The sequence below is a fragment of the Homo sapiens genome, chromosome 10 (assembly GCF_000001405.40).
Source record: "Homo sapiens chromosome 10, GRCh38.p14 Primary Assembly".
In the NCBI taxonomy this organism is placed as follows: domain Eukaryota; kingdom Metazoa; phylum Chordata; class Mammalia; order Primates; family Hominidae; genus Homo; species Homo sapiens.
In genome coordinates this window covers 63,341,719-63,355,731 of record NC_000010.11, presented here as the reverse complement: position 1 = coordinate 63,355,731, position 14,013 = coordinate 63,341,719, and the positions used below count along the sequence as shown (strand labels likewise).

At 38.9% G+C, this 14,013-nt stretch overlaps 1 protein-coding gene across 11 annotated transcripts in view, besides 2 other annotated features; it reads left to right on the top strand.

Annotated features, from left to right (window-relative positions):
• JMJD1C (jumonji domain containing 1C) overlaps positions 1 to 14,013 on the top strand; it is a 354,666-nt gene that overhangs the window by 166,159 nt on the left and 174,494 nt on the right. The window lies entirely within an intron of this gene.
• Positions 116 to 235: an enhancer, noted in NCBI's record as "active region_3437". NCBI's record gives its function as "activates an Ori minimal core promoter by ATAC-STARR-seq in GM12878 lymphoblastoid cells {active_cell/tissue: GM12878}" and the evidence as "EXISTENCE:reporter gene assay evidence [ECO:0000049][PMID:35858748]".
• Positions 546 to 725: an enhancer, noted in NCBI's record as "active region_3436". NCBI's record gives its function as "activates an Ori minimal core promoter by ATAC-STARR-seq in GM12878 lymphoblastoid cells {active_cell/tissue: GM12878}" and the evidence as "EXISTENCE:reporter gene assay evidence [ECO:0000049][PMID:35858748]".

The window sequence follows — 14,013 nt, the reverse complement described above, 5'->3', positions numbered from 1 at the left end:
GGAAAACATCATAGAATAAAACTTCTACAAAATCATCTTTGCATATCTTTCTTTCCAACCAAGAGCAACTCTCACACAGCTGTCACTGGAAAAGTTCTCTTTTCCAACTCCTCAGCTTTTTACTGTTGTTCCCTCTTTCACATACTGCTCAATTTTTTCTCTTCCAAGAGTAGCTTTCTGGTCTGTCTCATGTAAATAAATTTAGGCTCTGTTTCAAGAGTTTTATAAATGAAGGCAATAGGGATCCTTGTGATGATGGAACAATTCTCTGTTATGGTTGTGGTCATGATGTTAAATGAATCTGCACATTACAAAATTGCATAGAACTGCACAGCCATGCGCACACATATGCACACAAATGAGTATATGTAAAACTGGTGAAATGGAAATAAGCTTTGTGGTTTGTACTTAATGTCAGTTTCTTGGTTTTGAAATTATACTGTAACTATGCAAGATGTGACCTTTGCATAACATCTTGAAACCAGGTGATGGGTCCTCAGGGGCCTCCCTGATTTTGTTTTTTAATGCAATTTCTTATGAATCTGTGATTATTTCAAAATGTTTAAAAAAAAGTAGATAAGTTGGAACATGGCAGCACAAGTGAGAGAGATTAGAGAATCACTTGCTTTTTTTTTTCTAAGACAAAAATCTCTATCTTACTCAGCATTGTGCTGAAAGCCATCTTTATTTATTTGTTTATTCTTTTCCTGACACAGGATGTCACTGTGTCACCCAGGCTGGAGTGCAGTAGTGCAGTCTTGGCTCACTGCAACTTCCACTCCCTAGGCTTCAGTGATCCTCCCACCTCAGCCTCCCAAGTAGCTGGGACCACAGGTGCACACCACCATGCCTGACTTTTTTTTTTTTTTTTTTTGTTAAAGTAGATATGGGATCTCACCATGTTGCCCATGCTGTTCTTGAATTCCTGAGCTCAAGCAATCCACCTGCCCCAACCTCCCAAAGTTCTGGGATTACAGGCATGAGCCACCACACGCAGCTGCTGTCTATTTTTAATTCAGATATATTAAAATTTTTAAAATAAATATAAACAGAAAAAAGCAGTAGAAAATTTAGGTAGAAAATACTCTGAATAATAAAAAAGTAAATATAAAAGATGATTAAAATAGAAAAGGTATTTTTAAAACTAGAGAAAAAGTAAAATATACAAGTTTATGTAAAAATAAGTTTAGCATGCTCATCTCAGTTGTAATAAATAAAAAAGGATAAGATTGTTAAATCCAGAGAGCTACACAAATAAAAAATATGAAAAATTGGTTAAAATGAAGAAATGATTAATAAGATAAATTCAGCTACTTAGACACAGTAAATAATACAGTACATTCATAAACTTAAAAATTAAATAGGCAATATGTTCAAACAATAAAAATGAATAATTTTAGGTTAAGAAAAATATACAATTTCATTAGATTAAAAACTAGTGACTACCCTTCTCTTAGTGATAAGAGAGTTGTTAATTGTGGGGACAATTGATTCATGATCACCTTTTTAATTTGTTGAAGTTGTGGATTACTATTTATATTGTACTTAACCTTTGCAGTTAAATGCTGGATTACTATACAAATACCAACTCAGGGCCAGGCGCAGTGGCTCATGCCTGTAATCCCAGCACTTTGGGAGGCCAAGGCGGGCAGATCATGAAGTCAACAGATCAAGACCATCCTGGCCAACATGGTGAAACCCCGTCTTTACTAAAAATGCAAAAATTAGCTGGGTGTGGTGGTGTGTGCCTGTAGTTCCAGCTACCCAGGAGGCTGAGGCAGAAGAATTGCTTGAACCTGGGAGGCGGAGGTTGCAGTGAGCTGAGATGGCACCACTGCACTCCAGCCTGGCTACCAAGCGAGACTCCATCTCAAAAACAAACAGACAAAAAAAGCCTCAGTAATAAATTTAAACAAGGATTCCCTTGGCCAAGCATGGTGGCTCACACCTGTAATCCCAGCGCTTGGGAGGCTGAGGCGGGCAGATCACTTGAGGCCAGGAGTTCGAGACCAGCCTGGCCAATATGGTTAAACCCCATCTCTACTAAAAATAACTGGGCGTGGTGGTGCGCGCCTGTAATCTCAGCTACTCCGGAGGCTGAGGCAGGAGAATCACTTGAACTTGGGAGGAAGAGGTTGCAGTGAGCCGAGATCACGCCACTGCACTCCAGCCTGGGTGATAGAGTGAGACTGTCTCAACCAAAAAACAAAAAAGATTCCCAAAGTACCTGTGGTTCCCAAAGGAAGCAGTCAATTATTGTGAATATATTTCCAAATAAAAATCTACCGTTTCACCTGCTTTGCATAAAATCTGTTAGCATCTTCACATTAGTAGTAGATAGACCAAATATATTCATTTATAAGACTTGCATGGTCTTCCCTTTGTAGCCTTATGAACCACCATCATTACCGTGACCCCTTCCCAAATCTTATTCACAATTTATTGCTGTAAGTTTCTTTGAGTTCTTACAAAAAAATACTGTATTTTCTTCTGCCTAGTTCTATTGCATATACTGTTCTCTCTGCCTAGAAAGTTTTCCTAGTTAACTTGACTCATAGTTCAGATATTACTTTATGTCTTCATGAAAGGGCTGTCTACACCCATGGTCTTGATTGAGGAAAGTACTTAATAAATTTTCCTAACTTCATTTATCACACATGAAATGTAATATATTTTATGTTGTTTGATGACCATCAGTCTCTCCTCGTAGACTGTATGTCCCATGAATACAGTCGTCAGGATTGGTTTTGTTCAGTGTTGTGAACAATACCATTCCTCCATTAGTGGAACTCCGAATAGCATTCTAGGACCACCAGCCTACTTTTACCAAATTCCACACATACTCAAGTCCTGAAGTTGGCCCCGTAGAACACACTCATAAAAAGTCAGCCCTCTGTATACACAGGTTTCACATCCCATGAACACTGTATTTTTGATCCATGTTCTATTAAAAACTACGCATACCTATGCATTTCAAACCTCTCTTGTTCAGCGGTCAACTGTATATTATTTTTACTGTTTTATTGCTTTGCCTCTGTGCTGTATTTCCTCTGACTTGACTTCCAGTTTAAATTTTTTTTTTTTTTTTTTTTTTGAGACAGAGTCTCACTCCATCACCCAAGCTGGAGTGCAGTGGCTCTATCTTGGCCCACTGCAAACTCCACCTCCTGGGTTCAAGTGGTTCTCATGCCTCAGCCTCCTGAGTAGCTGGAATTATAGATGCATGTCATCACGCCCAGCTAATTTTTGTATTTTTAGTAGAGATGGGGTTTCACCATTTTGGCCATGCTGGTTTTTAACTCCTGGCCTCAAGTGATCCACCTGCCTCGGCCTCCCAAAGGGGTGAGATTACAGGCGTGAGCTACCATGGCTGGCCAGACTTCCAGTTTACTTATCCTTTTTATTGGTATCTAATAAACTTTTATCAATTCATTGCTTTTTGAAAATATGTCTATTAGTCTTTTATTTTTAGAAGCTCTGTGTAGTTCTTTTTCAATTTTACTTGCTCATTTAATTTGTTTCTAAACGTATTTCTAAACTTACCTTTATTTCGTTAAACACAAAGTACCTCAAGTTAGTCTGTGTTAATCTGTATCTGCTAATTCCTATGTCTAAAATTTTTTTGTTTTCTGTCTTCATTGGTTCTCAGTCATGTGACCTTGTTTCCTTGTGTATATTTTTTTATTCTCGCCCCTCCTTACTAGGATGAGATGGTTAGGGGAGATTTTTGAGAATGATTTAGGTCTAGAATGGAGGTAGGTTTCTCTAGAGAGGATTTGCTGTTGTGTCTGCTGTATATCTGGGGAGATGGCACTGATGGCCTTGGACTACATTAAATTGAAAGCTTGAAGTTTTTTGTATCACTAAAATGATGTGAATGAATTCATACTGGGACTGGTTTGTGGTTACGGCATTCAAGGATTTTTTTTTAAGCCGTATTTGCTCGGTGCTAACCTAGCTTTCCTTGCAGACCTGTGAAGGTAAAAAGAATTAGGGTAGGTTTACTTCTGGTACTCTGTTATCCCAATGAGTAGTTAGCCCTTTGTAGGTCTCTTGTTAGTCTTCTTTGCATGAACAGAGGGTGATTTTATGTTCTATTTTTGTTTCCCCACAAGGCTCTATAAACTTGATTTTGTTTGTCCCCATTCAGCAAATGCTCTCAGGGTAAAAGAAGAAAAGTCTATATACCATTCCAGCTTTTTTCATACGACCCAGTTTTGAAGTAAATGAAATTAATGTTGTCTAGGAATTATAATAGACCTCAAACTTGTTTTATACAAATTTAATACATATATTGGAATTATTCACGTTAGATTATGATTGGTTATAGTATTAATGGTTATAGGCTGGGTGCAGTGGCTCACACCTCTAATCCCAGCACTTTGGGAGGCCGAGGTGGCTGGATCACCTGAGGTCAGGAGTTCAAGACCAGCCTGGCCAACATTGTGAATAATACCAAATATAAATACCACTATAAATACCAAAATTAGCTGGGCGTGGTGGCAGGCGCTTGTAATCCCAGCTCCTCAGGAGGCTGAGGCAGGAGAATTGCTGGAACCTGGGAGGCAGAGGTTGCAGTGGGCCGAGATCTCACCACTGCATTCCAGCCTGGGTGATAGAGCGAGACTCCATCTCAAAAAAAAAAAAAAAAGAAAAATTTCTGTTTGTTAAGGCACAGTTCAGAGAAGAACAGAATCTATATCAAATGTTAATGTAATATATATAGATGTATATTAAATATGATTGCTTACATATCTAGTCATAAATACAGCACCAGAGTTGGGAGAAATATTTAATGTATATAAAAATTTTGGGCCGGGTGCGGTGGCTCACGCCTGTAATCCCAGCACTTTGGGAGGCCAAGGTGGGCGGATCTTGAGGTCAGGAGATCGAGACCATCCTGGCTAACATGGTGAAACCCCGTCTCTACTAAACAAATACAAAAAAATTAGCTGGGCACGGTGGCGGGCGCCTGTAGTCCTAGCTACTCAGGAGGCTGAGGCAGGAGAATGGCATGAAACCGGGAGGCAGAGCTTGCAGTGAGCTGAGATTGCACCACTGCACTCCAGCCTGGGTGACAGAGTGAGACTCCGTCTCAAAAAAAAAAAAAAAAAAGTTGGTTCTGCAGCTCACTAGCTGTTTAATTATGGGTGACTGCTTAACTCCCTCTGTAATTCTATTTTCATATCTCTACAAAGGAGAAAACAATAATACCAACTTCATAGTAATGTTGTGAGTTTTAAATGTGTTTACCTATATAAAATCCTTCAACGAATTCATAGTATTTCTTGGCACTATTACTATGCAAAAGTTATTTGACTTTGAAAAATGAAAAAAGTTATTTCGAACAGTAGTTGGTATTTAATCAGCAATAAAATTGGCAGTATGATTATCATGACAATAGATCAATCAGGTAAGGATTTTAAAAATCTGAAAAAACATAAACCCTTTAGTATGTATCTAATGATATTGGGTGAGAATAGCTTTTCCTACATCTGCCACTCACAAACAATAAACCCACACACAAGTCACTTATCTCATGAGTCAGGTCACCTTTTCTGCAAAATGGAGGTAATAAGGATGTTACAGAAAAGTATTTGGTTGTGAGATTCCATTGATAGAGAAGTGAGAAAATCATTTTATGTGAATAATATATTAAAATCTTATTCTTTTTGTCTTCTTTTATAGGTATAAATTTTTATGACATCGTAGGATGCTTGTCATATAGAAGTAATAAGTGCTTTACTTTTTAGTTACAAGCTTTCAGGATGGGGCAGAATGTCAAGAGTTTTTAAAAACCCTAAAGTTTTAAAAAATTTATGTAGATACTCTTTACCAGTTATCAATCTGTAATGTCAGGTATCTGTCAATTATTCTTTTAGTGAATTTACAGTATTACAAAATTCATCACTATTTTCCTCAATTCTGTATTTTATCTATACCTAACTGTGTAGCGCTTCTGGAAAATACTAGGTGTTTTTACATGTCCATTCTTTTATTCATACTTTTCCCCCACCTATGAAGCCTTTTCACCTATTTCTGCTAATTAAATCTCTAAAAATCCAGGGTAACTCATATAGTTCCCGCATTTCAAGGATTCCATTGGTTGCAATCAGAGACTCCTCTTTGTAAGTCTAATGCTTTTTATAAAAAGTTTCAACATTTACATGAGGCCTTGAGATACAGTTATTGCTAATACATGCCTGGCTATCCTACTATTCTATAAGCACTTTGAGGACAGGGATTGATTATGTCTTATTTATATTTTTTACTTTCTTCTCCCCAAGTGCTAGAGCACAATATCTTGAACATCATTGACACAGAGTGTATGAGAACGCAAAACTGGTATCGATAACTTCTGTTAACAGACTTTTGCTCCATACCAGGCATTGTGTAAAAACACTGTCTTAGTCCACTTGGCATTGTTGTAAAAGGAATACCTGAGACTGGGTAATTTATAAAGAAAAGAAGTTTTTTTGGCTCATGGTTGTGCAGACTGTAGAAGAAGCATGATGCCAACATCTGCTTCTGGTGAGGGCTTTGGGGAGCTTCCTTTTATAGTGGAAGGCAAAGGAGGGCAGGCATCACATAGGGAGAGGGAAGGCTTTTTTTTTTTTTTTTTTTTTTTTTTGAGACAGAGTCTCACTCTGTCACCCAGGCTGAAGTGCAATGGCGTGATCTCAGCTCACTGCAACCTCTGACTTCTGGATTCAAGTGATTCTCCTGCCTCTGCCTCCCAAGTAGCTAGGATTACAGGCACCTGCCACCACGCCTGGCTAATTTTTGTATTTTTAGTAGAGACGGGGTTTCACCATGTTGGCCAGGCTGATCCCAAACTCCTGACCTGAGGTGATCCACCCGCCTTGGCCTCCCAAAGTGCTGGGATTACAGGCATGAGCCACCGCCCAGACTCTCTTTAGTGATCAGTTTTCCTGGGAACTAATAGAGTGAGAACTCACCCATTATCTTGAAAAGGACACCAAGCCATTCAAAGGATACGTCCCCATGACCCAAACACCTCCAATTAGACCCCACCTCTAACAATGGGGATCAAATTTCAATATGAGATTTGGAGAGGACAGACATCCAAACAGTATCAGTCACCTTTGTATGAATTTATCACAACATCCTGAATCTTCACAACATCCTTATTATCTCCATTTTGCAGATAAGGTGACTTGACTCATGAGATAGGCGACCTGCATATGGATTTACTGTTTGTGAATGGCAGACCTAGGATTAAGCTATCCTGACCCAATGTCATTATATTTAACCAAGTAAACTATTTGTAGAAATGAATCATATCTCTGGATTATGTAAAGCTTTCTTGTTAGTCATGGTGTAAACTGAGAGCCAGTTTTAGTTCAGATAGCCAGTATATCTTCATAGTCTCATGGATTGGAGAGATGACTTTATCAATTCTCAGAGTTGACTCAGTGATACCTGCTTAAGATATCTGCCCTGGTCAAATGCCAGGACTTTTTGATGTCTTGATGACATTTGAATGCCTTTTTTTTTTTTTTTTTGAGATGAAGTCTCGCTCTGTCCCCCAGGCTGGAGTACAATGGCGCGATCCCAGCTCACTGCAACCTCTGCCTCCTGGTTTCAAGCGATCCTCCCACCAAGTAGCTGGGATTGCAAGCATGCGCCACCACACCTGGCTAATTTTTGTATTTTTAGTAAGTGGAGGTGGATTTCACCATGTTGTCCAGGCTGATCTCGAACTCCTGACCTCAAGTGATCTGCCTGCCTTAGCCTTCCAAAATGCTGGGATTATAGGCATGATCTATTGCACCCAGCGGTAATTTCTCTTGTTTTGAGATGGAGTCTTGCTCTGTTGCCTAGGCTGGAGGGCAGTGGTGCAATCTCAGCTCACTGCAACTTCCACCCCCTGGGTTGAAGAGATTCTCCTGCCTCCGCCGCCGGAGTAGCTGGGATTACAGGTGCCCACACCACGCCTGGCTGATTTTTGTATTTTTAGTAGGGTGGGGGCGTTTCACCACGTTGGCCAAGCTGGTCTTGAACTCCTGATCTCAGGTGATCTACCCATCTCAGCCTCCCAAAGTGCTGGGATTACAGGCATGAGCCACTACGCCTGCCCTGTAATTTCTTTTTTTCTTTTTCTTTTCTTTCTTTTTTTTTTTTTTTGAGATGGACTCTCGCTCTGTTGCCCAAGCTGGAGTGCAGTGGCGCAGTCTTGGCTCACTGCAACTTCCACCTGCTGGGTTCAACAATTCTCCTGCCTCAGCCTCCCAAGTAGCTGGGACTACAGGCGTGCGCCACCATGCCTGGCTAATTTTTTTTGTCTTTTTATTAGAGTCGGGGTTTCACCATGCTGGGCAGGCTGGTCTGGAACTCCTGACCTCGTGATCCACCCGCGTCGGCCTCCCAAAGTGCTGGGATTACAGGCGTGAGCCACCACACCCGGCCCGTAATTTCTTTATTGAAAAATTTTTACAAGGAGGCATAAAGTTGGAGTTGACAAAAATACAAAAATTAGCCAAGCATGGTGGCAGGTACCTGTAATCTTAGCTACTTGGGAGGCTGAGACAGGAGAATTCCTTGAACTTGGGAGGTGGAGGTTGCAGTGAGCTGAGATCATGACACTACTCCAGCCTGGGTGACAGAGTGAGACTCTGTCTCAAAAAAAAAAAAAAAAAAAAATTCTTTTCATTTGTTCTATACTGCAGAATAGTAAAAGCTCATTAAAAATGTCATCCCTGAGGGGCCAACTTTACTTTTGGTGTGAAAATATGTATCATGGAGGGCCGGGGGTGTAGGGGGACCTAAGTCCTGAAATTTTAGGACTTTCACTTTTTCCCAAAACTGTATTACTCATTAGCAGATGAACTTTAAAACTGCCTTTTAAAATGATATTTTAGTTGCGCTAAATTATGGTATGACACTGAATGATACGATAAGTCTCTTAAAAATAGTAGCCAAGTAGATAGACCAATAGACTGTTAAAAGAAAAACTTTCAGACAAATTTTACAATTTAACTGAGCAAGGAAAAATGATTCACAAATTGGGTAGCCCTTAGAGCAGATTCAGAGAGGCTGTGGTACTGCTGCATGGTCTTAGAGAATTTACGGACAGAAAAAGAAAAGTGATGTATAGAAAATGGAAATATGAGGTACAGAAGTGAATTGGTTATAGTTTATTTGCTTTATTTGGCAAAATGAACATGGTTTGAACAGTTGGTTATTCATGAGTGGTTGAAGTATGGCTGCTGTGGTTGGCTGAGATTTAGCTATTGTTACAGAAGCATATTGCTAAGTGAGAATTTGCTTACCTAATAAGTTAGGTTGCAGTTCATACATAAGAACCCAAGTATGCTTTAGGGCTGTTTCAGGCCAGATTTTGATTTAACAAAACTAGTGTCACTCATAGGCTTTAGAGCCTCCTCTTCATTTATCTTATGTTTCCCCTTTTCATGGCTTTATTTTAGTTGCTTCTCAGCTACTCAGAGAAATCTCTGTATCTTGTAGTATCTAATCACACTTTAAAAAAATGATTCATTTCCCAGTGGGCAGAGTAGCACACAGCTGTAGTCCCAGCTACTTGGGTGACTAAGTTAGGAGAATCTCTTGAGGCCAGGAGTTCAAGGCTGTAGTGTTCTATAATTGCACCACTGCATTCCAGCCTGGGCAAGATAGTGAGACCCCATTTACTGATTATAAGATTTAAAAATATCTGCTGCATGATTTGTGAAAAACACAGAAAGTCGTAAGGAGTAAAATAAATCATCTTTAATTTTTTTTAAAGTTAACCACGGTTAAGAGTTGGGTCTGTTTCCTTTTATTCCGTATGTACCTTTTTCCCTGTCTCCTTTAATTAGTACTGAGTTAAAGACCGTGCTTTACTTAGTACTTGAGTATGATTTCTGGAAAAAAAAATTACTGGTTTTATAAAAATGTGTGTACACTAAAATTCATTTATTTTACCATGTACAATTTTTTGAGTTTGGGCAAATTCATAGACTCAGGTAACCACTGCCACAATCAAGATACAAAATAGTTCTCTTACCTTAAAAATTTTCCTGTGCTGCCCCCTTGTAGTTGTCTCCCTACTCCTAACCTCTGGCTAGTTTCTGCATTTTTCAGATCATTGTATAAATGTAATGATAAAGTATATAACCTTTCAAAGCTGGCTTCTTTCTTTCATTCATTAATTTTGAGATTCATTTATGCTGTTCCATAGATTGGTAGTTTGTTCCTTTTTTTTGTTTTTTTTTTTTTTTTTGAGACAAAGTCTCACTCTTGTTCCCCAGGCTGCAGTGCAATGGCACAATCTTGGCTCACTGCAACCTCCCGCCTCCTGGGTTCAAGCGATTCTCCTTCCTTAGCTTCCCGAGTAGCTGGGATTACAGGTGCCTGCCACCACGCCCGGCTAATTTTTGTATCTTTAGTAGAGACAGGGTTTCACCATGTTGGCCAGGCTGGTCTTGAACTCCTGACCTCAGGTGATCCGCCCACCTCGGCCTCACAAAGTATTGGGATTACAGGCGTTAGCCACTGCACCCAGCCAGTTTGTTCCTTTTATTAATGAGTATTCTGTTGTATGGATATACCACAGTTAGATTATCCATTCACCCGCTAACAGATACCCATTCTACTTTTGAGTGATTTTGAATCATGCTCCTAAAAACATACATATACAGATTTTTGTGTGAACATACATTTTTATTTTATTTGGGCAGATATCTAGGAGGGGTATTGCTGGATTGTATGGTAAGAATATATTTAATTTTATAAATAGCAGCTGCCAAACTATTTTCCAGAGTAGCTGTACTATGTTTAATTCCCACTTGAAATGTTTGAGAGTTCCAGTTGATCTGCATCCTCACCAGAACTTGGTATTACTAGGGTTGACTTTTATTTTTTATAGGCATACTGTTAGATATGTAGTGGTACAGCATTGATTTAATTTTTTTTCCCCTTGTGGTAATAGGTATTGAATACTATTGGTGAACTTTTTTACCGTCTATTTTTTTTTTGGAGACATGCTTGTTTAAATCATTTTTTGTTGTTTTTCTTATTTTTAAGTTGTAATGGTTTCTTTTCAACTTTGAATGTATGTCCTCTTTCAGATACATGGCCTTCTACCAGTCTGTAGCAAAAGATCTTAATTATCATGAAGTTTATGTTTTTATTTCTTTCATGGGTCAGATTTTGGTGTCATACCTAAGAACTCATTGCTGTGATCACAAAGGTTTTTTTCAGTTCTCTTTTACGAATAGCCATGCATCACTTAATGGAGGGGATACATTCTGAGAAATGTGTCCTTAGGTGATTTCTTTGCTGTGTAAACACCACAGAGTGTTCTTACACAAACCAAGATGGTTTGCCTACTATATACTTAGGCTATATGGTATGGCCTGTTGTTCTGAGGCTACAAACCTGTGTAGCATGTTACTGTACTGAATATTTTAGGCAATTGTAACACAATGGTAAGTTTTTGTGTATCTAAACATAGAAAAGGTACAAAAAAATATGATATAAAAGGTAAAGGAAATACTATACAGGTTACTTACCATGAATGGAGCTTGCAAGACTGGAAGTTGCTGTAGGCATGTCAGTGAATGAGTGGGAAGAGAATGTGAAGGCCTAGAATGTTACTGTACACTACCGTAGACTTTATAAATGCTGTATACCTAGGCTATCCTATATTTGTTTTGTTTGGTTTTGTTTCTTGAGACAGGGTCTCTATCTGCTGCCCGGGCTGGAGTGTAGTGTTGCTGTCTTGGCTCACTGCATGCTTGACCTCCCAGGCCCAAGTGATCCTCCCACCTCAGCCTCCCAAGTAGCTGGGAGTACAGGCACACACCACCACACCTGGCTAATTTTTGTAATTTTTGTAGAGATAGGGTTTTGCCACATTACCCAGGCCGGTCTTGAACTGCTGAGCTCCAGTGATCTACCCACCTCAGCCTCCCAAAGTTATGGGATTATAGTTGTGAGCCATTACGCCTGGCCCACTAAATTAATTTTTTTTAAAAATAATTGCAGTACAGTGTTATAATGGCTGTGCAGTGTCACCAGATAGGAATTTTTCAGCTCCATTGTAATTTTATGGCACTGCCTTCATATGTGGTCCGTTGTTGACTGAAATGTCATTATTCAGCATATGACTGTACTTTAGTTTCATATTTTACATTCAAGCTAAGATGATTAGAGTAGAAGCAGCGATGTAAGGTATATATATTAACAAAATCTTTTTATGTATATATTGTCTGTATGTGTATGTGCTTTATTAATGATACCAGAAAAACAAATGAAGTCACCAGCCAACCTAGGCTATATGTACTTCATTAGTCCATGTGTTAGCATACATTAAAATCTGTTTTTTTTTTTGTTTTTTTTTTGAGATGGAGTTTCACTCTTGTCACCCAGGCTGAAATGTAATGGTATGATCTTGGCTCACTGTGTCCTCCACTTTCTGGGCTCAAGCAATTCTCCTGCCTCAGCCTCCCGAGGAGCTGGGACTACAGGTGTGTGCCACCATGCCCAGCCAATTTTTAAAAAAATTTTTTGTAGAGACAGGGTTTCGCCATGTTGTCCAGGCTGGTCTTTAATTCCTGAGCTCAAGCGGTCTGCCTATCTTGGCCTCCCAAAGTTCTGGGATTGCAGACGCGAGCCACTGTGCCTGGCCAAAATCAGTTATTTTTTTAATGCAGGTTGAGTATCCTTATCCACAATGCTTGGGGCTGGAAGTGTTTTGGATTTTGGATTTTTTCAGGTTTTAGAATATTTTCATATACTTGAGATATCTTGGGGAGGTGACCCAAGTCTAAACACAAAATTTGTTTATATTTTGTATACACCTTATATACATAACCTGAAGGTAATTTTAAATAATATTTTAAATAATGGTGTGCATTAAACAAAGTTGTGTACATTAGAAAGCAAAATTATCACTATTGCAGCCACCCATGTGGACAGTCATGGTTATCACCATTTTTGAATCTGAAATTATATGCTATTGATAAGTAATCATTTTCTTATATTTATTCACACAAAACTACTGAACAGTAAAAATATGAAATATCATTAGTACAGTGAAGAAATAATGTGTTCACTGTAACTAATCAGCACAGTAGCATTACCAGAATACCTGTATCAGATATTAACAGCAAGAACAGACAACAGGCTTTCAGTCTCCACCTCTGATGCTGTGTTTTGATTAAAAGGTTACTGTACATTGTATTTCTTTTAGGTGAGAAGAAAGCTTAGAAGCATTTGAGGACCAGGAAGTGGGTCCTCTAGTGATGAGGAGGTATTCTGCTAGATGGCTTTTTAAAATGTTTTCCCCAGTGTCATCTGCCTCATTAACAATGGTTTTTGTCTTAGAGGTCTCTCTTTGATTTTATAAACTGACATGATTTCTTGTTCTGTTATGAATGCACAATGCTTTAGTCCTTCAGTAAGCCCATCACACATTTTTACCATGTCATGCATAGGCACTTTTTCCTGCAGTGTTTAACAATGTCATCTTCATTGTCACTTATTATAATCACTTTGACTCAGAACCATTTTGGCTATTTCACTATTGGTTAATGAATGAACAATTGGAATATCATTATCAGTGTCAAAGTCGTCTTCGTTATCTACTTCCTTTAGCTTACTGATGGACAGTGATGGAATTTGTTTTGCATATGTAAGAAGGTTGGAAACTTTTTTCTCACTTGACACACAGAATTCTTCAAAGTCACCATTTGTTCACCATCATCACTGAATATAGTTACAAGTCACCATTTGTTCACCATCATCACTGAATATAGTTACAGGCACACATAACTGCATCATTAGTAACTGTGTCCAAAGCGTTGGCAACAGCGTATGTGGCATCTTCACCTTTTTTGAAAACCTTCCACACCTACAGTTCTGTTTTACTGCTGTTAGCATGTCGTTCAAGAACGTGTGTTAATATTTACTCGTTATTGATCTAAAGATACCCTGGTCGCATGGCTGAATTAATGAAGTCACATTTGGGGGAAAGTACATGACACGAAC